Source organism: Homo sapiens, chromosome 12 (assembly GCF_000001405.40).
Source record: "Homo sapiens chromosome 12, GRCh38.p14 Primary Assembly".
NCBI classification, from domain to species: domain Eukaryota; kingdom Metazoa; phylum Chordata; class Mammalia; order Primates; family Hominidae; genus Homo; species Homo sapiens.
This window is the reverse complement of record NC_000012.12, coordinates 6,287,054-6,307,925: the sequence shown is the minus strand read 5'-3', so window position 1 is coordinate 6,307,925 and position 20,872 is coordinate 6,287,054. Positions and strand designations below refer to the sequence as shown.

The window sequence follows — 20,872 nt, the reverse complement described above, 5'->3', positions numbered from 1 at the left end:
GAGGATAACTGCCTGGGGTTGGCATAAGGGGCTCACCAGGCAGGAAGGTCAGGGAAACTCATTTGTGCCTCGACCTCTGCTGAGCCCATATCTCTCAGGGCAGAAGTGGGGACCATCTGGGCTAATGAGGGGCTGGCAGGCACTAGCAACAGGAGGCAGCTAATGGGAGCTGTGTCCTCCCTGCCCAGAGCGAGGCAGAAACTGAGGGTTCAAGCTAGGAGGCGCCAGGTCATGTGAGGCAGATGAATACCAGGAGGACAGGCCACAGGGCAAAGCCTCTGGTGCCTCAGGCCAGAACTGGTGCTTCCCGTTTCTTCTTTCGTCCCCTCCCCCTTCCTTCCACATTTACTGGCAATGTGTAAGACAGTAGGAATATAGAAAAGAATAAGAGGCCCTGACTTCTAGGGGCTTACAGACTAGTGGGGAGGCAGATGGGCGAAAAGAACATTGATATTTAAGTTAGACCAAGAACGACTAAGTCAGGAGCTGTGGGAACACTTTGGAGGGACCGGTTACTACATAGGGGAGCCAGGGATGGCTTCTAGAGGAGGCGAGCTTTGTGTTGGGACTCGAAGGATGAGTAGCAGTCAGCTGGGCTGAGAAGGAGGAAAGGACATTTCTGGAGGAGGGAAGAGCATGTTTAAAAAGAAACTGGGGAAGGGCAGACTTCCCTAAAGGCCTCCTGAGGGTCTACCCTGTTGGCTCCCTGGGAATATCCCAGCTTCCGAGCCGAGGGTCTCTGGGTGGTGGCTTAGGAGGACGAACCTTCTTTGTGGCCTTCCAGGACCTCCGCAGTTTGACCTCAGTTATACTTCCCTACTCAATCCCTAGATGTGTCCCCATTCCCTGGGTCGGCCTCGACTTTCCTGACTCCATGCCTTTGCTCAAGCTGTTCCCCTCAGCTGGGTGCCTTGTCCTCCGACTCCACTTACCTCCTTCGAGGTCTTTCCTAGGACTGCCTCCTTCACGAAGCCTTTCCTAATAATCCCGCAGCCAGGCTGATCACTTTCCTCCCTGCTTGCAGCTGCCTTGACCGCTATGTTTCTTTAAAAGGCACCACTCTTGTTCTCCCTACTAAGTTGATATTAGCATGTGCCACCTATGCCTGAGGGCAGAGACCAGCCTAACACAAGACTGGCATGGTGTTTGGGAATTGAACTGGATTGACTTGCTAGAGGACCCAGACAGAATGACTTGCAGATAGACTGGCCTGTACTGTTCTGTCCCTACCCAAAGGAACCACATTTGCTTTTTAGATACCTGGAATTCTTCCATAATTTCAGTTTCCTTTCCTGCTTGATTACTGTAGCATCAGGACATCTGTGATGCACCTAAATGTTCCTCTCCATTAGGGCAAACATACCATGTAAGTTTACCTTGCAGGCCAATTCTTTTCTCTTTTTCTTTTTTTAAAATTCCAGATTCTCTCAGATCCTGAATTGCGGGCTAATTCTGATAGGTGGTGGGTTCCTGGAACATTAACTTAAGAAGGATTCTGTGGCTGGCTCAGCAGAAAGAATGCTAAGATGGCTTAGCAATGTCTGCCCCAGGGGAAAGAGGGCTCTTTCTGCCTTAGCGTGAGGTTTATCAGTCACTTGTCTTGCACTGAGCCAAGACTGGGACACTGAGAATGTAAGGCCTTTGCCTCTGTTGGAAGCTGATGGCGAAGGTGACTAGAAGACAATCGGGTGGATCTACCTTCTTGGGATTTACGGTGGCATATCTTCCAGTCAGATGTCTGGATGTCCAGGTCTGTGCTCCGAGGCACCCTTTTGACATGCGGCCCCAGAGAGGCTGTGGAATTTTTTTTCTTTTTTTGAGACAGGGTCTCACTCTGTCAACCAGACTGGAGTGCAGTAGCGCCATCACAGCTCTCTGCAGCCCAGACCTCCGAGGCTCCAGTGATCCTCGCATCTCAGCCTCCCGAGTAGCTGGGACCACAGGCACATGCCAACATGCCCTGTAGTGAACAGAACACTGGATGAACAGATGGGTGAACAGAATATTGATATGGAAGTTAGACATAGAAGGGATAAACTGGGAGCTGCAGGAACACTTTGGAAGGACCAGTTACTACATAGGGGAGCTAGGGATGGCTTCTAGAGGAGGCAAGCTTTGTGCTGGGACTTGAGGGATGAGTAGTAGTCGGCTGGGTAGAGAAGGAGGAAAAGGTGCTGGACCAAGAGCTGTGGAATCTTTTTTTTTTTCTTTTTCTTTTTGTTTGTTTGTTTGTTTTTGAGATGGAGTCTTGCTCTGTCGCCAGGCTGGAGTGTAGTGGTGGCGCAATCTCGGCTCACTGCAACCTCTGCCTCCCGGGTTCAAGCGATTCTCCTGCCTCAGCCTCCCAAGTAGCTGGAACTACAGTAGCGTGCCACCATGCCCAGCTAATTTTTGTGTTTTTAGTAGAGACGGGGTTTCACCATGTTGGCCAGGATGGTCTCGATCTCCTGACCTCGTGATTGGCCTGCCTCCGCCTCCCAAAGTGCTGGGATTACAGGCATGAGCCACTGTGCCCAGCCCATTTTGTGTCGGTTTCTACCTTAATTTTGCATTAATCATTTCTGCCTGCCTAAATGACGGATCTCTGCCTCCCTTACTGCTCCTGCACTTGTTGGTTTGTTGTTTTTAGAATACAAATGCACTGTGCAGGGCTCAGAGGCTTGGAGCCATCTCTGTCTCATGCCAGGGTCTTGGTTCATAGGGAAGCCCTTCATCGGGCTTTGGGGGCAGCTGGATTTGATTTGTCTATATCTCCATCCTTGTATGTAAAATGAGGATAAAGTAACTAAATTTTGGAATCATTGGATCATTACAATAATAACAATAGCTAACTTTAATTAATTAATTAATTAATTTTTTAAGAGACAGCATCTTGCTCTGTCATCCAGGCTGGGAGTACAGTAGTGCGATCATGGCTCACTGCAGCCTCAACCTCCTAGGCTCAAGTGATCCTCCCACCTCAGCCTCCCAAGTAGCTGAGACCACAGGTGTGTGCCACCAAACCTGGCTAATTTTTAATTTTTTGTAGAGAAGGGGGTCTCCCTCTCTGCCCAGGTTTGTCTTGAATTCCTGGCCTCAAGGGATCCTCCTGAGTTGGCCTCCCAAAGTGCTCAGATTACAGGCGTGAGCCACTGCGCCCAGCCAGAGCTAGCTTATTAAAGCAATAACTATGTGCAAGGCACATAGTTTATATGTTTTATTTTATTTAATCCTCACAAAAATCCTATGAGGTAGATACTATCATACTCCTATCACAGGGGAGGAAACAGGCTCAGAGAGGTTCCATGACATGTTCAAGATGACAAATTTAGCAAGAAAAAAAGTCAGGATTTGAACTCAATTGCCTCATTCCCAAGCTGGCACCTTTAACTACTATCCAATAGGCAAATAAACAAGTTGCTCTAGGTAAGCCTAGTGTATGGAAAGGAAACCAGATAAAACTGACTGCCTTGTTTCAGCCCTAAATGTCATCTCAGCATTTGAAGACACAAGAAATCTAACTCCTAAAGCTTTGAGAAGTATTTACTGAAGGCTGCTGGCCAGGGCTGGTCTTTACTGAGGGCTGTTGGCTGGAGCCCGAGCCCAGGGCTCTGTTGCTTATTACACGGCATCGTTTCCTAATAAGCATCTTCACTCCGCTCTCCCCAAAATATTCTTCCTCATAGTATCTATTCAGTCCTCTCCTCTCCTGCTCCCTCTTCTGTCTCCTTCCAACCCCTCTTCCTGATCTTCCCCCTCCCATGGCTCCATTCCCTTTCCTTTATGGAGCCATCTACTCTTGTCCTCCCTTTGGTAATCTCGTCTGCCCTTCTGCTCAGTAAAACAAAGATGTTTCGCCCACGTCCTCAAAAGGAGGATAGTAAATCCATGTAACAATGAAATATGGTTGTCCTCGGCATGCTGGGCTGTCAATGCATGGCCAAGGCAGATAAAAGGAAACCCTAAGGGGCTGAGGAGACAACAGAGAGGGGATTTAGAAAACTGCTTTCCTCAGGCTGGGCGCGGTGGCTCATGCCTGTAATCCCAGCACTTTGGGAGGCTGAGGCAGGCAGATCACGAGGTCAGGAGATCGAAACCATCCTGGCTAACACGGTGAAACCCTGTCACTCCTAAAAATACAAAAAATCAGCCAGGCATAGTGGCACGCACCTGTAGTCTCAGCTACTCAGGAGGCTGAGGCAGGAGAATCACTTGAACCCGGGAGGTGGAGGTTGCAGTGAGCTGAGATTGCACCACTGCACTCCAGCCTCGGTGACTCAGAGCAAGACTCCGTCTCAAAAAATTAAAAAAAAAAGAAAAGAAAAGAAAAGAAAGAAAGAAAACTACTATCTTCACAGGCCCTGCATTCTGTCTCTTTTCCTTCCCTTCCCTCCATCAGTACCAGGGGGAGGAGGAGGAGGAGGTGCGGGTATGAATCCCTCCTTACCATCTGACTCAAGTCTGCACATTCTCCAAGACCTGTATTAATCCCTGCCCAGACCCTCCTGGACCAACGTGGTCCACAGTACCTCCTCTGCCCCTGATTCCTGCTACATATGCCCCTCTTACATTTGCCTTACCTTTCTTGTTACCAAACTTTCATGGTGGGTGTCTCCTCTCCTTATCTAGGCCGTAAACTCCTTAACAGCAGGACCTTGCTCTTTCACAGTGCCAGGCTAGGTGGAACTTGACATAGATACTAATTAAAGATTTGCTTGGGAGATGACTGTGGAGTAAGACCTCTAGGAGTGAGGTCTCTGGAGTTTGTATTCGGGCTCCATCACTATGGTTGCTTGTCCCTGATTTTTCACATCTCTGAGTGTCTATGCTATTTGGTAAGATCCTTCCGCACTGACTCTGCGCTTGGCCTTGTGATTTGCTTTGGCCAATAGAATGTGATAGAAGTGATGATGGACTCGTTCTAGTCTTGGAGCTCCAAAGGCTTTGTCCACATTCATTGTCTGGGAAGCTTCCCACCATGATGAGGAACAAGCTCAGGAGGACAAGAGACCACGTGCAGGAGAGTAAGTCATCCTAGCTAAGGCCATCCTAGACCAGGCAGAGGAAAGCTGACCCATAGCCACAAACGTACGAGGGAGCCCAGCTGAGATCTGACTAACTTGGACCAAATCAGCAGAATGACTTAGCCAACCTGGTTGATTCATGTGCAAAAGTACATTTTTATTATTAGCCTGTTAGTAGTTTTGGGTGCTTGTTATGCAGCACTAATGTGGTGTTGGAGAATGGATACAACCATTTACCAGCTCTGTGATCTTGGGAAAGTTATTTAATTGCTATACTCTTTTTTTTTTTTTTTTTTTTTTTTTTTTTTTGAGACAGGGTCTTGCTTTGTTTCCCAGGATGGAGTGCAGTGGCGTGATCTCGGTTCACTGCAATGTCGGTCTCCCAGGCTCAGGTGACCCTTCTGCTGCAGTCCCCCGAGCTGCTGGGAGTACAGGCGCGTGCCCCCACGCCTGGTTAATTTTTGTATTTTTAGTAGAGACAGAATTTCACATTGTTGGCCAGGCTGGCCTTGAACTCTTGACCTCAAGTGATCCACCCACCTTGGCCTCCCAAAGTGCTGGGATTACAGGCGTGAGCCACCACACACAGCTGATTGCTATATACCTCAACTTCCTTGTCTGTAAAATGGGAATGTGGTGGATACTGTTGACAGCTTCAGCTGTGTCTCCTCTCCCAGCAATTGCTTCAGCTGAAGAACTGCTTCACCCAAGGTTCTGCTCCTTTTCCTGGGGCTGCCTGTATCCACTGGCTGGCTGATGTGGAAGTATTAAAGTCTGGGCCCCTTGTTCCAGCTGGGGGCAACTCTGCAGGGCCATCCTAGCTGCAGAGCTGCCTGTGGCTGCTGCATCATTCGCCTACCGCCTAATCCCTCTTCATTTCTCCACAAGGGTCAAATTCAAGAGACTTCCAAATCAACCTCTTACCTTCATATCCCCATCTTAGAATTTGATTTCCTGGAACTATCCTGTGGGGAGTGGATACAAGTGACTACGTAGCAAGATCTGGCCAATGAGATAAAAGCAGGTATGTTCCTTAAAACTGCCTGTGGCCAGTGGCTCACGCCTGTAATCCTAGCACTTTGGGAGGCCGAGGCAGGTGGATTGCCTGAGCTCAGGAGTTCATAACCAGCCTGGGCAACACAGTGAAACCCCGTCTCTACTAAAATACAAAAAATTAGCTGGGCGTGGTGGTGTGCACCTGTAATCCCAGTTACCCTGGAGGGTGAGACAGGAGAATCGCTTGAACCTGGGAGGCAGAGGTTGCAGTGAGTGCAGATCACACCACTGCACTCCAGCCGGGGTGATAGAGCGAGACTCCATCTCAAAAAAAAAAAAAAAGACTGTTTTGCCTGCAAACTTTGGATCTATTACTACTATCAATAGCATTTTGAAAAGCTGCATACATCTGTGTATATTTTTGAATCTAAAATCTTTTTTTATATTTTAAAATGTAACGTTTACCATATTATTAATGTTAACATTTAAGATGAAATAATTCCCTTTAACTTTTTATTTAAAAAATTCAAAGTTTTAGAAATTTGCAAGAACAATGTAATGACCTTTTGTATACCCTTTACCTACGATTACTGATATTTTGCCCCATTTGGTCTCTCACATTCTCTCTGCGTATCACTAGAATTATTGATATATAATTAAAACAGAAATTTTATATATATATATATATATATGTTTTTTTTTTTTTTTTGAGACAGGGTCTTGCTCTGTTGCCCAGGCTGGAATGCAGTGGTGTGATCATGGCTCACTGTAGCCTTGACCTCCCTGGACTCAAGTGATCCTCTCACCTCAGCCTCCCAGGTACCTGGGACCACAGGCACCTGCCACTGCACCTGGCTAATTTTTGTATTTTTTGTAGAGATAAAGTTTCACTGTGCTGTCCAGGATGGCAGAAATATATCTTAAATATATATTCAACTTAAAAAGAAAAAGTTAATTGAGATTGTACTCTTCCCCAGTGAGATGGACAGAGCTACCTCTGTACCCCCAAATTTTTTCAAAGAGAGGCAATATGTGCGGGGGTTTGGCTCATGTGTGGATTTAGGCAGCCTTGGTCTGAATCTTGGTTTTGCTGCTTATGGGCTGTGTGGTCTTAGACAGGTTATTTAACCTCTTTGTGCCACAGAATCTTCATAATATTTGTGTCTACATCATATGGTTGTGGTGAGGACCAAATGAGTTAATATATAAAGTACTTAGTTAGAACATTACCTGATATATTGTAAGTATGGTTTATGTTTATGATATAATCGAGTGTATCAGTGGATGAATAATTATTTATTGCTAGAATAATTAGGGTGCAGAGCAAATTAACAAGAAGATATATCACCAGTAAGTCGGAGGTTTCCAAAAGATGTATTCATGATCATTGTTCAATGCATTACTTACAGTAGAATCATTTCTCAGTGGTAAGTTAATCTAAGAACATGGTAGGAATAAATAAATGAGCAGAGACGTGATTGATAAATGATAGCAAATTGGAGACGTGTAAAAAAAATGTTTTTTAATGACTGAGGTAGGCTCCGTGGCTCACGCTTGTAATCCCAGCACTTTGGGAGACCGAGGCAGGTGGATCACTTGAAGCCAGGAGTTCGAGACCAGCCTGGACAACATGGTGAAAACCCTCTATAAAAAAACAAAAATTAGCCGGGTGTGATGGCTCCTGCCTGTAGTCCCAGCTACCTGGGGGGCAGAGGTGGAAGGATCACTTGAGCCTGGGAGGTGGAGGTTGCACTGAGTCATCATCCAGCCCCCTACACTCCAGCCTGGGTGACAGAGTCAGACCCTGTCTCAAAAAAAAAAAAAAAAAAAAAAGTGACTTTCCATTATTCAATAATTGGGAGCAAAAGGGAAAGAAGATTTTTTTCCTACAAGTCTTAGTAAATATAGAACACTAAAGTGCCTTTGATATATGTTTGTTTAACTGGAGGAGGCAATGTTCATCTATTGAAAGTAAATGTGAAACTTTTCACTTCCCCCTTCTTTTTTTTTTTGGAGACAGAGTCTCGCTCTGTTGCCCAGGCTGGAGTGCAGTAGGTGTGATCTCGGCTCACTGCAACCTCCACCTCCTGGGTTCAAGCGATTTTCCTGCCTCAGCCTTCTGACTAGCTGGGATTACAGGTGCCCGCTGCCCACGCCCGACTAATTTTTGTATTTTTAGTAGACATGGGGTTTTACCGTGTTGGTCAGGCTGCTCTCGAACTCCTGACCTTGTGATCCGCCTGCCTCAGCCTCCCAAAGTGCTGGGATTACAGGCGTGAGCACCACACCTGGCCTCACTTCCCTCTTCTTGAAATTGTGCAAAATATTCAGAGAAGAGCAGTCCCGCCAGGGTGGCAGACAGCCTGGCCCTGGGCTCTGTGTGAGCTTCACAGGAGATCGGCCTTGTCTGGGTGCTTTTAAGAATCATGATGATCTTTAAGATAGATAAGGCATGGAGCTCTGCCTCGAGCTTATCACATACATGACTTAAGGTGCTATCACTATCAGTGTTTACTACCTGACTCTCCCTTAGCACTCAAGTATTCCTGGGGAGCTTTAGGGATATGGAAAGTAATACTGTCCCTACTCCTGCTTCACCCTATCTGAGCCCACAACATCCCAACACATCTTCTTAACTTCACATTTTGCCCTTTACAAAAATATATATAGGACAGAGAAGACACGAAGACCTACAAGAGGTTTGTGGTGATTTCATTAAACGAAGACTTGCCCACACTGATATTATTATTTATTTTTTAAAATTTTATTTCAGTAGATTTTGGGGAACAGGTGGTGTTTGGTTACCTGGATAAGTTCTTTAGTGGTAGTTTCTGAGATTTTGGTATACTCATCACCTGAGCAGTGTACACTGTACACTTTTATCCCTCACCCTCTCCCACCCTTCCCCCTGAGTCCCCAAAGTCCATCATATCATTCTTATGCCTTTGCACCCTCATAGCTTAGCTCCCACTTATAAGTGAGAACATACGATGTTTGGTTTTCCATTCCTGAGTTACTTCACTTAGAATCATGGTCTCCAACTCCATAATATATATCACATTTTCTTTATCCACTCGGTTCAACTCAAACCGATGTTATGAAGCATCCTTTCTTCGGGGCCATGAAGCTTTTACGCTCCAAGCATTCTATCTTAAAATTTGGGAAAGTTGAGAGGTCGTGTGGTGCCTGAAGTGTTCTATGTGGCATGGGTTATTATTATGATTGTTCTTAAGAGAGCCACCTGCCTGGCCTCCCATAGTGCTGGGATTACAGGCATGAGCCGCCACGCCTGACCAGCGTGGATTATTTCTTAACGCACCCCCTTCCTCTACAAAAGTTATTTTCAGCAATAATCATGAATTGAAGTTTTCATATTGGCCCTCATAAAACAAAAATATTACAACTTGTAATTTGCCTTCTATCTCACTGCTTTTTTTTTTTTTTGATCACTGAAACCTCCGCCTCCTGGGTTCAAGTAGGTCTCATGCCTCAGCCTCCCGAGTAGCTGGGATTACATGCGTGCGCCACCATGCCCAGCTAATTTTTGTATTTTTAGTACAGACAGGGTTTCGCCATGTGGGCCAGGCAGGTCTTGAACTCTTGGCCTCAAGTGATCCTCCCACCGTGGCCTCCCAAAGTGCTGGGATTACAGGTGTGAGCCACCACACCCGGCCTCCTTTTCACTGTTTTGAATTTTTAACACAAATACAAAGTCCAAGTAGATAAGAGAAAAATAACTCAAGTTATTCCTTTGTCTTTGCAATCAGGGCACTATCATTGTGTCTTTTGAATCTACCTTTGAAAGGCAGAGATAACGTGGTTCTGTTAGTGGAAAAAAGGGTCTTGATCCAGAGCCCAGAGGGTTCTTGGATCTCGTGCAGGAAATAACTCAAGGCGAGTCACAGAGTGCAGTAAGAAGAAAGTTTATTGAAAGCTATCCTGTTACACAGGAGGGCGTCCTCAGAAAGCCAGCAGAGGACTGCCCCGGCTTTGTTTTAAGTTTTTCTCGTATAGGGGTCTTGTCGATGTAAAGGTTAAACTAAGCTGTTTCTACATGTGGGTGAGCAGACTGCATGAGAGAGTTTATTACTCTGTTGATTTAAAGAAAACTGTCCTTGACGTTTTAGTGTGTAAGTATTAATACATCAAGGTGTAACTATGATTATCTTCAGAGCATATGTTGATACGAGTATCGGGACATGTGGACTCTCCATTGTTGTCGGAGGGTGTCTTTGTAGGCATCTTTAGACTGTTTCCTCAACTGTAAACACACCATGACTATAGGCTGTGACCAGCAAGGAGTGTGCCTTTCTAGCTTTTTGTGTGTGTGTGCCTTTCTAGTTTTAAGATGGGAGTTGATTGGCCAGGTGCTGTGGCTCATACCTATAATCTCAGCACTTTGGGAGGCCGAGTCGGGAGGATTACTTAAGACCAGGAGTTGAGACCAGCCGGGCAACACGGGGAGACCCTATCTCTAAATTAAAAAACAAAACAAAACAAAAAGATGGAGTTGAGTGTAAAATGGTGTCACTCTGGCTCTCCCAAGCTCCTGCTTCCATAGCAGCTCCACACGAACGGAGGCACTGACCAGCCAGAAGTAAGAAACACATGGAGCTGAGTCTGCGGGTGTCGGGGGCCCACTGAATAACGAGTTTTCAGCTTTCATTTCTGCATAGGAGATAATGTTATTTATCTTTTTTTTTTTTTTTTTTTTTTTGAGACTGAGTCTCACTCTGTCGCCCAGGCTGGAGTGCAGTGGCGCGATCTCGGCTCACTGCAAGCTCCGCCTCCCGGGTTCACGCCATTCTCCTGCCTCAGCCTCCCGAGTAGCTGGGATTACAGGCGCCCGCCACCACGCCCGGCTAATTTTTTGTATTTTTAGTAGAGATGGGGTTTCACCGTGTTAGGATGGTCTCCATCTCCTGACCTCATGATCCACCTGCCTCGGCCTCCCAGAGTGCTGGGATTACAAGCGTGAGCCACCTTGCCCGGCCGATAATGTTATTTAAATGCTAAGTTATAAAAACAAGTTAAATTGAAGTTCACATTTTATTTATTTATTTATTTATTTTTGAGATGGAGTCTCACTCTGTCACCCAGGCTGGAGTGCAGTGGCCTAATCTCGGCTCACTGAAACCTCTGCCTCCTAGGTTCAAGTGATTCTCCTGCCTCAGCCTCCTGAGTAGCTGAGATTACAGGCGTGCACTACCATGCCTGGCTAATTTTTGTATTTTTAGTAGAGATGGGGTTTCACCATGTTGGCCAGGCTGGTCTCGAACTCTTAACCTCGGGTGATCCACCTGCCTTGGCCTCCCAAAGTGCTGGGATTACAGGCGTGAGCCACTGTGCCCGGCCGAAGTTCACATATAATTAAAACTCAGTGGTAATGACAGCATTTATTTAGATTTAGAACTTAGACCAATAAAATACTTTTTCAGGGAGGAATGTTTTATCACTGACATTGTTTAGGATTGCTGGCCCAGGGGATAACAAAGAACTTTCGGTTGCTTACTCATTTACAATTCTCTAAGGACAATGCAGCCTCTATTCCCTGCCTTGGCGGTGGTGGGGAAACGGTTTTCACTACCCTGCTATTGCCTACCACTGATAAGAGGCCTACCTTTTTTTATAAAGTGGCGGAAGGGTGACTCGTGTCAAAAGGCTGGCGGGATGCCAGCATGAGTCCTTGGCCCCTCTCCTACTTCGTTCCTATCCTGTCCTGTTCTCCATCTTGCTGTTTGGACAGATGTTGCCATCCTGGACCTTGAGGCTGAGAGACTTGTCCGAGGGGTGGCACACCAGAAGGAGCCTAGGACCCTGGCACTTCATCAGCACTCCATGGAAAGTGCTCCGTCTTCAGACTATGTGAGGGAGAAATAAGATCTCATCTTTTCTGGGGTCTCACTCTCCCACCCAGGCTGAAGTGCGGTGGTGAGATCTCGGCTCACTGTAACCTCCGCCTCCTGGGTTCAAGCAATTCTCCTGCCTCAGCCTCCCGAGTGGCTGGGATTACAGGCGCCTGCCACCACGCCCAGCTAATTTTTGTATTTTTAGTAGAGACAGGGTTTCACCATGTTGGCCAGGCTGGTCTTGAACTCCTGACCTCAAGTTATCCACCCACCTCAGCCTCCCGAAGTGGTGGGATTACAGGCATGAGCCACCATGTCTGGCCCTCTTTTCTGAGGTTTCTGACACTTTCAGGGATCAGGGACATTTATGCCGGAGTCCTGACCTTTAAGCCGAGGTCTGAAGAATGAATAGGTATTTTGTGAGTAAGAAGAGGGAAGAGAATTTCAAGGAGTTGGGGGCTTGGGTAGGAAAGCTAAGAGCCAAGAGACCACATGGTGAGTTTGAGGAACGGAAAGAAGCTTTGGATGGGGGAGCTCAGAGTGCCAGAGTGTCTGGAATAGGAACCCCAGAAGGACTTACTTGTGCAGATGATTGATCTGTGCTCATTGGCATTACCTAACATTCTGTCTGGGAGTTCTGGGGTGCTAGGAGGTTCTCAGAGGCCAGACCAGGAAATCCAGGGCCTCACCTTCCCAGGGTTGCCCCAGGCAACCTCTGTTTGTAAAGAATCCTGTTTATTATCTACTGACTCATGGTCATCTGTGGTTGCTATGGTTCCCACCAACAATGAAGCATAAATCCATTCCTAGAGGGTGGGGTCTGCAAGGTGGGGCTGTCCTCTTCCTTTTCTGGCTCCCAGCTCCTCGCAGCTTCCCAGCCTACAGCAGCAGGGTTGGGGGGTGGGGGGGTTGGGGGAGTGTCTTTGTCTATGGAATCTCAGATGTGGGGCTCCTTGGAAGGGTGGGACAAGGAGCTCAGTGGAGTGAAGGGACAGATCTCTGCAGTCAGGGCTGGGACCACGTCCACTGAGTGAGAGAGAACCGGGCAGCTCTAAGCTGATCAGAAGCCCTGTTCCCTCTGCATAACTAGAGGAGGAGCCCAGGAGATGGAGAGAGAGAGACTCCAGGAAGAGTTAGAGCAGGATTAGGAGACCTGGCCCCTTTCTCCACCAGGGACAAGCAGAGTTTGTTCCCCAAAGTGGTGGCAGATACATAAATGTGAAGCTGGGAGAGGCAGTTGTTTGGCAACAGGCAGAGATGTATATATGTTGTATAAAGGAACCAAGAGAAAGGGAAGCTAGAGGGACAGGTGGACTTTGGAAAGATTATTTCATTTCACACATTTGCACAAAGTCTTATAGGTTACAAAGCATTTGTGCATCTATTTTCTCATTTGCTTGTCACAGAAGCCCTGTGAGGAAGCCAGGGCAAGAAATATCAATCCATTTGAAAATGAGTAAACACTGGCTTATAAAGGTTGCTTAACACAGCCAAGGTCAAAAACAGGACTAGAATTTAGAGCTCCTGGCTCATAGTTCAGTGCTTTCTTTAAACTTTTTTTTTTTTTTTTTTTTTTTTAACAGAGATGGGTCTCTCTGTGTTGCCCAGGCTTGTCTTTAACTCTTAGACTCAAGCAATTCTCCTGCCTTGGCTTTCCAAAGTGTTGGGATTACAGGCTTGAGCCACCACACCTGGCCCAGTGCTCACTCTTTCTTTTCTCTCTTTCTCTCTCTCTCTCTTTCTTTTTTGACAGAGTCTTGAGTCACCACACGTGGCCCAGTGCTCGGTCGCTCCTTCCTTCCTTCCTTCCCTCCCTCCTTCCCTCCCTCCTTCCCTCCTTCCTTCCCTCCTTCTTTCCTTTCTTCCTTCCTTCCCTCCTTCTTTCCTTCCTTTCTCTCTCTCTCTCTCTCTCTCTCTTTCTTTCTTTCTTTTTTTCAGAGTCTTGCTCTGTCACCCAGACTGGAGTGCAATGGCAGGATCTCGGCTCACTGCAACCTCCACCTTCTGGGTTCAAGCAATTCTCCTGCCTCAGCCTCCCAAGTGGCTGGGATTACAGGCACCTGCCACCACGCCCAGCTAATTTTTTTGTATTTTTAGTAGAGATAGGGTTTCACCATGTTGGCCAGACTGGTCTCGAACTCCTAACCTCAGGTGATCCACCCGTCTCGGCCTCCCAAAGTGCTGGGATTACAGGTGTGAGCCACCACGCCTGGCCACCCAGTGCTCTTTCTATCAAATAAATGTCTCAAACTTGGGCTTTCGTGGGTCATTTTAATGGGTGTTTAATACACACAAAGTGCCAAAATTTTGGGTCAACTTAAAAAATTGTCAGCTAGGCGCCACCAGTGGGTCATGCCTGTAATCTGTGTGCTTTGGGAGGCCAAGGTAGGCAGACCACTTGAGGTCAGGAGTTCGTGACCAGCCTGGCCAATATGGCAAAACCCCATCTCTACTAAAAATACAAAAATTAGCCGGGCATTGTGGTGGGCGCCTGTAATCCCAGCCACTTGAGAGGCTGAGGTGGGAGAACCACTTGAACCCGGGAGGCGAAGGTTGCAGTGAGCCAAGATCATGCCACTGCACTCCAGCTTGGGTGATAGAGTGAGATCCTGTCTTGGAAAAAAAAAAAAAATTGTCACTGCTGGTGTGGTGGTGCACCACCTGTGGTCCCAGTTGCCTGCAGAGGCTGAGGTGGTCGGATTGCTTGAGCCTGGGAGGTCAAGGCTGCAGTAAGCTATGATGACACCACTGCACTCCAGCCTGGGCATCAGAACAAGACCCTGTCTCAGAAGAAATTTTGTCTCAAATTTTAAAATAATGTATTAAAACACGAAAAAAGTAACAACAGTGTCTCTGTTTTAAATCAAGGAGAAGGACATTGTCATCTTCATTAGATTGTTTATATTCAGCTTGGTGTCAGACTACTGTGGTGGACATTCTTGGGGAAGGTGATTTGCCACACCACCAGGAACTACATCTGTAAGTACACTACATTCAAAATTTGGAAGATTGTTTTAACCCTGGGTGATGGTGGAAAATAGATTTCTTATCCAACCTTTGGCTTCGTTGGAAAGTACTTCATGTTCTGATGTTGAATTTCAACTGTTTTTTTATTGTGGTAAAATATACATAACATGAAGTTTACCTTTTAATCTCAGTGGTTTTAAAATATACTCAATAATATGTTTTTGATTTCTTTCTAAAAAAAAATCCAATGTTGGGAAATAGTAAAGCGTTGATGTTGCAACTGTGCCAGAGTTCTAAGTTCAAGAAATCCTGGTATTTTATTTCTAACATTAAGGTTGTAAAATGCTGGTCCTGAGTCATAGGTTCTGGTGTGTCACTAAGATACACTACTTGAACAAACCCTTTGCAATTAGATGAATGCTCTTCGTTAGCATATCAATGTCACAAAGTGTCATCCTGCATTTAGAAAAACTTGTGTGATGGAAAGGAAAAAGTAAAACTATCTCTGTTTGCAAATGACGTGATATTATATATAGAAAACCCTAAGGAATCTACAAAAATAATTAGAATCTACAAAAAATAATTAGAGCTATAAAACAGTTCAGCAGAGTTGCAGGATACAAGATCACTTACATTACTAGTTCCGGGCTCTTCTATGTACAAAAATCAGTTGCATTTCTATGCACTAGCAATGAATAACCTGAAAATGAAATTAAGAAGACCGTCTGCTTAGAATAGTATCAAAATGAATAGAATACTTAGGAATAAGCGTTTTTTTTTTTTTTTTTTTTTTTTTTTCTGGAGACGGAGTCTCACTCTTTCGCCCAGGCTGGAGTGCAGTGGAACCATCTCGGCTCACTGCAAACTCTGCCTCCCGGGTTCACGCCATTCTCCTGCTTCAGCCTCCCAAGTAGCTGGGACTGCAGGTGCCCGCCACCACGCCTGGCTAATTTTTTGTATTTTTAGTAGAGATAGGGTTTCACTGTGTTACCCACAATGGTCTCAATCTCCTGACCTCGTGATCCACCCGCCTCAGCCTCCCAAAGTGCTGGGATTACAGGCGTGAGCCACTGCGCCCTGCCAGGAATAAATTTAACCAAAGAAATGCAATAATTGTACACTGAAAAATATTGTTGAAAGAAATTAAACAAGGTCTAAATAAAATCAAAGGACAGCCTATGTTTATTGTCTAAAAACTTAATATTGTTAAGATGTTGATACCAAATTTATCTACAGATTCAATGCAATCTCTATAGAAACTGTCCCCCCAAACCCCAGAAATGGACACGCTGATCCTAAAATTCATACAGAATTGCATGGGACCTAAAATAAACAAAACAAACTTGAAAAAGAACACAGTTAAAGGATTCATACTTCCTAATTTTCAAAACTTACTACAAAGCTACTGTAATCAAGACGATGTGATATTGGCATAAGGATAGATAAACAGACGGATGGAACAGAATCCAGTCCACACACCGACAGAACAGAATCCAGTCCACACACGGACGGGAATAGAATCCAGTCCACACACGGACGGGAATAGAATCCAGTCCACACACCGACGGAACAGGATCCAGTCCACGCGCCGACGGAAGAGGATCTAGTCCACACGCCAACGGGAATAGAATCCCGTCCACACACCGACGGAACAGAATCCAGTCCATGCACCGACGGAACAGGATTCAGTCCACGCACCGACGGGAATAGAATCCAGTCCACACACCGACAGAACAGAATCCAGTCCACACACGGACGGGAATAGAATCCAGTCCACACACCGACGGAACAGGATCCAGTCCACACACCGACGGAACAGGATCCAGTCCACGCGCCGACGGAAGAGGATCTAGTCCACACGCCAACGGGAATAGAATCCCGTCCACACACCGACGGAACAGAATCCAGTCCATGCACCGACGGAACAGGATCCAGTCCACGCACCGACGGGAATAGAATCCAGTCCACACACCGACAGAACAGAATCCAGTCCACACACGGACGGGAATAGAATCCAGTCCACACACCGACGGAACAGGATCCAGTCCACACACCGACGGAACAGGATCCAGTCCACACGCCGACGGAAGAGGATCCAGTCCACACACCGACGGAACAGGATCCAGTCCACGCGCCGACGGAAGAGGATCCAGTCCACACGCCGACAGAACAGAATCCAGTCCACACACGGACGGGAATAGAATCCAGTCCACACACGGACGGGAATAGAATCCAGTCCACACACCGACGGAACAGGATCCAGTCCACGCGCCGACGGAAGAGGATCTAGTCCACACACCAACGGGAATAGAATCCCGTCCACACACCGACGGAACAGAATCCAGTCCATGCACCGACGGAACAGGATCCAGCCCACGCACCGACGGAAGAGGATCCAGTCCACACACCGACGGGAATAGAATCCAGTCCACACACCGACGGGACAGGATCCAGTCCACACACCGACGGGAATAGAATCCAGTCCACACACCGACGGAACAGGATCCAGTCCACACACCGACGGAACAGGATCCAGTCCACACGCCGACGGAAGAGGATCCAGTCCACACACCGACGGAACAGGATCCAGTCCACGCGCCGACGGAAGAGGATCCAGTCCACACGCCGACAGAACAGAATCCAGTCCACACACGGACGGGAATAGAATCCAGTCCACACACGGACGGGAATAGAATCCAGTCCACACACCGACGGAACAGGATCCAGTCCACGCGCCGACGGAAGAGGATCTAGTCCACACACCAACGGGAATAGAATCCCGTCCACACACCGACGGAACAGAATCCAGTCCATGCACCGACGGAACAGGATCCAGCCCACGCACCGACGGAAGAGGATCCAGTCCACACACCGACGGGAATAGAATCCAGTCCACACACCGACGGGACAGGATCCAGTCCACACACCGACGGGAATAGAATCCAGTCCACACACCGACGGAACAGGATCCAGTCCACGCGCCGACGGAAGAGGATCCAGTCCACGCGCCGACGGAACAGGATCCAGTCCACACACGGATGGAATAGAATCCAGTCCATGCACCAACGGAACAGAATCCAGTCCACTCATCTATGGTCGATTGACTTCTACCAACATTACCAAAACCATTCAGTGGGGGAAAGAATAGCCTTTTCAACAAATGATGCTGAAACAAATCGATGTCCACATGCAAAAGAATGAATTTGAACTCATATCATACCATACGTAAAACTTAACTCAAAATATATCAAAGATCTAAATGTGAGAGCTAAAACTATAAAAATCTGAGAAGGAAATATAGGTGGAGACTGGGCAACATAGTGAGACCCTGTCTCTACAAAATATAAAACAAAATTTGCCAGGCATGATGGTGTGCTTCTTGGGAGGCTGAGGTGGGAGGAGCACTTGAGCCTGGGAGGTTGAGGCTGCAGTGAGCCGACGTCGCACCACTGTACTCCAGCCTGGGCAGCGGAAGGAGACCCTGTCTCAAAAAAACAAAAAACAAAAAACGGAGAAACAGGTGAAAATCTCTATGATTTTGAATTAGGAAATGGTTTCTTAGAAATAAGCACAAGAATCAAAGAAAAAATAAGATAAATCAAACTTTACTAAAATTAAAAACATTGTAGGTTAAAGGATACCAACAAGATAGTGAAAAGACAATCCACAGAATGGAAGACTATATTTGCAAAATATCTACCTGATAAGGGCCTAACATCCAGAATACGCAAACAACTCTTTTTTTTTTTTTTTTTTTGAGATGGAATCTCGCTCTGTCTCTCAGGCTGGAGTGCAATGGCGCAATTTCGGCTCACTGCAACCTCCACCTCCTGGGTTCCAGTGATTCTCCTGCCTCAGCCTCTCGAGCAGCTGAGACTGCAGGTGCCCGCCACCACGCCCGGCTATTTTTTGTTGTTGTCGTTGTTGTTGTTATTTTAGTAGAGACAGGGTTTCACCATATTGGTCAGGCTGGTCTTGAACTCCTGAACTCAGGTGATCCACCCGCCTTGGCCTCCCAAAGTGCTGGGATTACAGGCGTGAGCCACCGTGCCCGGCCTATACAAAGAACTCTTACAACTCAACAGTCAAGACAACCCAATTTGAAAAATGAGCAAAGCATCTGAATAGTCTTCAAAGAAGATATAGAAATGGCTAATGAACACATGAGAGGATGGTCAACTTCATTAGTTATTAGGGAAATGGAAATCAAAACCACAATGAGATATCCCTTCACATCCACTAGGATAGCTATACAATAAAAAAAAGGAAAACAGGCGGGCGCGGTGGCTCACGCCTGTAATCCCAGCACTTTCGGAAGCCGAGGCGGGCAGATCACGAGGTCAGGAGAACGAGACCATTCCTGGCTAACACACAGGGAAACTCCATCTCTACTAAAAATACAAAAAAATTAGCCAGGGCGTGGTGGTGGGCACCTGTCGTCCCAGCTACTTGGGAGGCTGATGCAGGAGAATGGCATGAACCCGGGAGGTGGAGCTTGCAGTGTTGCAGTGAGCCGAGATGGCACCCCTGCAGTCCAGCCTGGGTGACAGAGCGAGACTCAATCTCAAAAAAAAAAAAAAAGAACCAAAAAACCAGTGTTGGTGTGATTATAGAGAAATCGGAGCCCGCATATACTGGTGGTGGGAATGTAAAGTGATTCAGCTGCTGTGGAATACAGTCTGGCAGCTCCTCAAAAAGTTAAATATAGAATCACCATATAACTCAGCAATTGCACTTGTTGGTATATATCTGAGAGAAGAGAAAACATGTTCACACAAAGACTTGTACATACATGTTCACAGCAGCATTATTCATAATACCAAAAAGTAGTAACAACCCCAACATCCATCAAGCAATGTGATGAATGAATGAACTAAATGTGGCATGTGTAGTCCCAGCTATTTGAGAGGCTGAGGCGGGAGGATCTCTTGAGCCTGGTAGGTTGAGGCTGCAGTGAGCCAAGATCACGCCACTACACTCCAGGCTGAGCAACAGAGTGAGAACCTTTCTTAAAAAAAAAAAAAAATTAGCCAAGGTAATTCAAATGTCCATCCAGTGATGTGATTAATGAATGAACAAAATGTGGCATAACCATACAATGGAATGTTATTCAGCCGTAAAGAGGAATGAAGTTCTGTTGCATACTACCACATGCATGAAGCTTGAAAACATTTTGTTAAGAAGCCAGTCAGATATTGTGTGATTCCATTTATATAAAATGTCCAGAATAGGCAAATCCATAGTGACAGAAAATAGATTAGCAGTTGCCAGGGGACAGCATAGGGAGAGAATTCGGACTAACTTTTTTTTTGTTTTTTAAATACGGTCTCACTTTTTCGCTCAAGCTGGAGTACAGTGGCACAATCAGAGCTCACTGCAGCCTCAACCTCCCAGGCTCAAGTGATCCTCCCACCTCAGGTGCACACCACCACACCGGGCTAATTATTTTATTTTTTGTAGAGATGGAGCTTGGGCATGTTGTCCAGGCTGATCTCAAACCCCTGAGCTCAAGCGATCTGCCTGCCTTGTTCTCCCAAAGTGTTGGTATTACAGGTGTGAGCCATTGTACCTGGTCTTTAAAATGGTGACTTTTTTTTTTTTTTTTTTTGAGATGGAGTCTTGCTCTGTCGCCCAGGCTGGACTGCAGTGGTGCGCTCTCGGCTCACTGCAACACTGCAAGCTCCGCCTCCCGGGTTCACGCCATTCTCCTGCTTCAGCCTCCCAAGTAGCTGGGACTACAAGGTGCCCACCACCATGCCTGGCTAATTTTTTGTATTTTTAGTAGAGACGGGGTTTCACCGTGTTAGCCAGGATGGTCTCCAACTCCTGACCTCATGATCCGCCCACCTCGGCCTCCCAAAGAGCTGGGATTACAGGCATGAGTCACCACGCCTGGCCTAAAATGGTGACTTTTAAATTATGTGAATTGTATCTCAATTAAAATGCCAAATTAAAACAAAACGCAGTTCACCTTTGCTCTCTAGGGTCAGAGTAGCTCATGGTGTGTGTGTGGGGTGGGGCGTTGGAGTGATGGGGAAGCATTCCCTTGTACATGCT

The 20,872-nt window shown here is 46.6% G+C and overlaps 1 long non-coding RNA gene across 4 annotated transcripts in view, besides 2 other annotated features; it reads left to right on the top strand.

The window, feature by feature from the left end:
* Positions 11,773-12,273: an enhancer, noted in NCBI's record as "H3K27ac hESC enhancer chr12:6404819-6405319 (GRCh37/hg19 assembly coordinates)". NCBI's record gives its function as "activates a minimal SCP1, AML or CMV promoter by ChIP-STARR-seq in naive H9 embryonic stem cells {active_cell/tissue: H9 hESC(naive)}" and the evidence as "EXISTENCE:reporter gene assay evidence [ECO:0000049][PMID:30033119]".
* The window catches only part of LOC105369625 (uncharacterized), a 71,439-nt gene continuing 63,085 nt past the window's right edge, over positions 12,519-20,872 (top strand). For all 4 annotated transcript variants that reach the window (XR_001748978.2, XR_001748979.2, XR_001748976.2 and 1 more), the window contains exons 1-2: positions 12,519-12,675; positions 14,717-14,827. This is a non-coding gene — a long non-coding RNA (uncharacterized LOC105369625). The remainder of the gene's footprint in view (positions 12,676-14,716; positions 14,828-20,872) is intronic.
* Positions 14,327-14,537: a silencer, noted in NCBI's record as "fragment chr12:6402555-6402765 (GRCh37/hg19 assembly coordinates)". NCBI's record gives its function as "represses an EF-1alpha promoter that drives an FKBP-Casp9 reporter gene in an ReSE screen in HepG2 liver carcinoma cells and K562 erythroleukemia cells {active_cell/tissue: HepG2 | K562}" and the evidence as "EXISTENCE:reporter gene assay evidence [ECO:0000049][PMID:32094911]".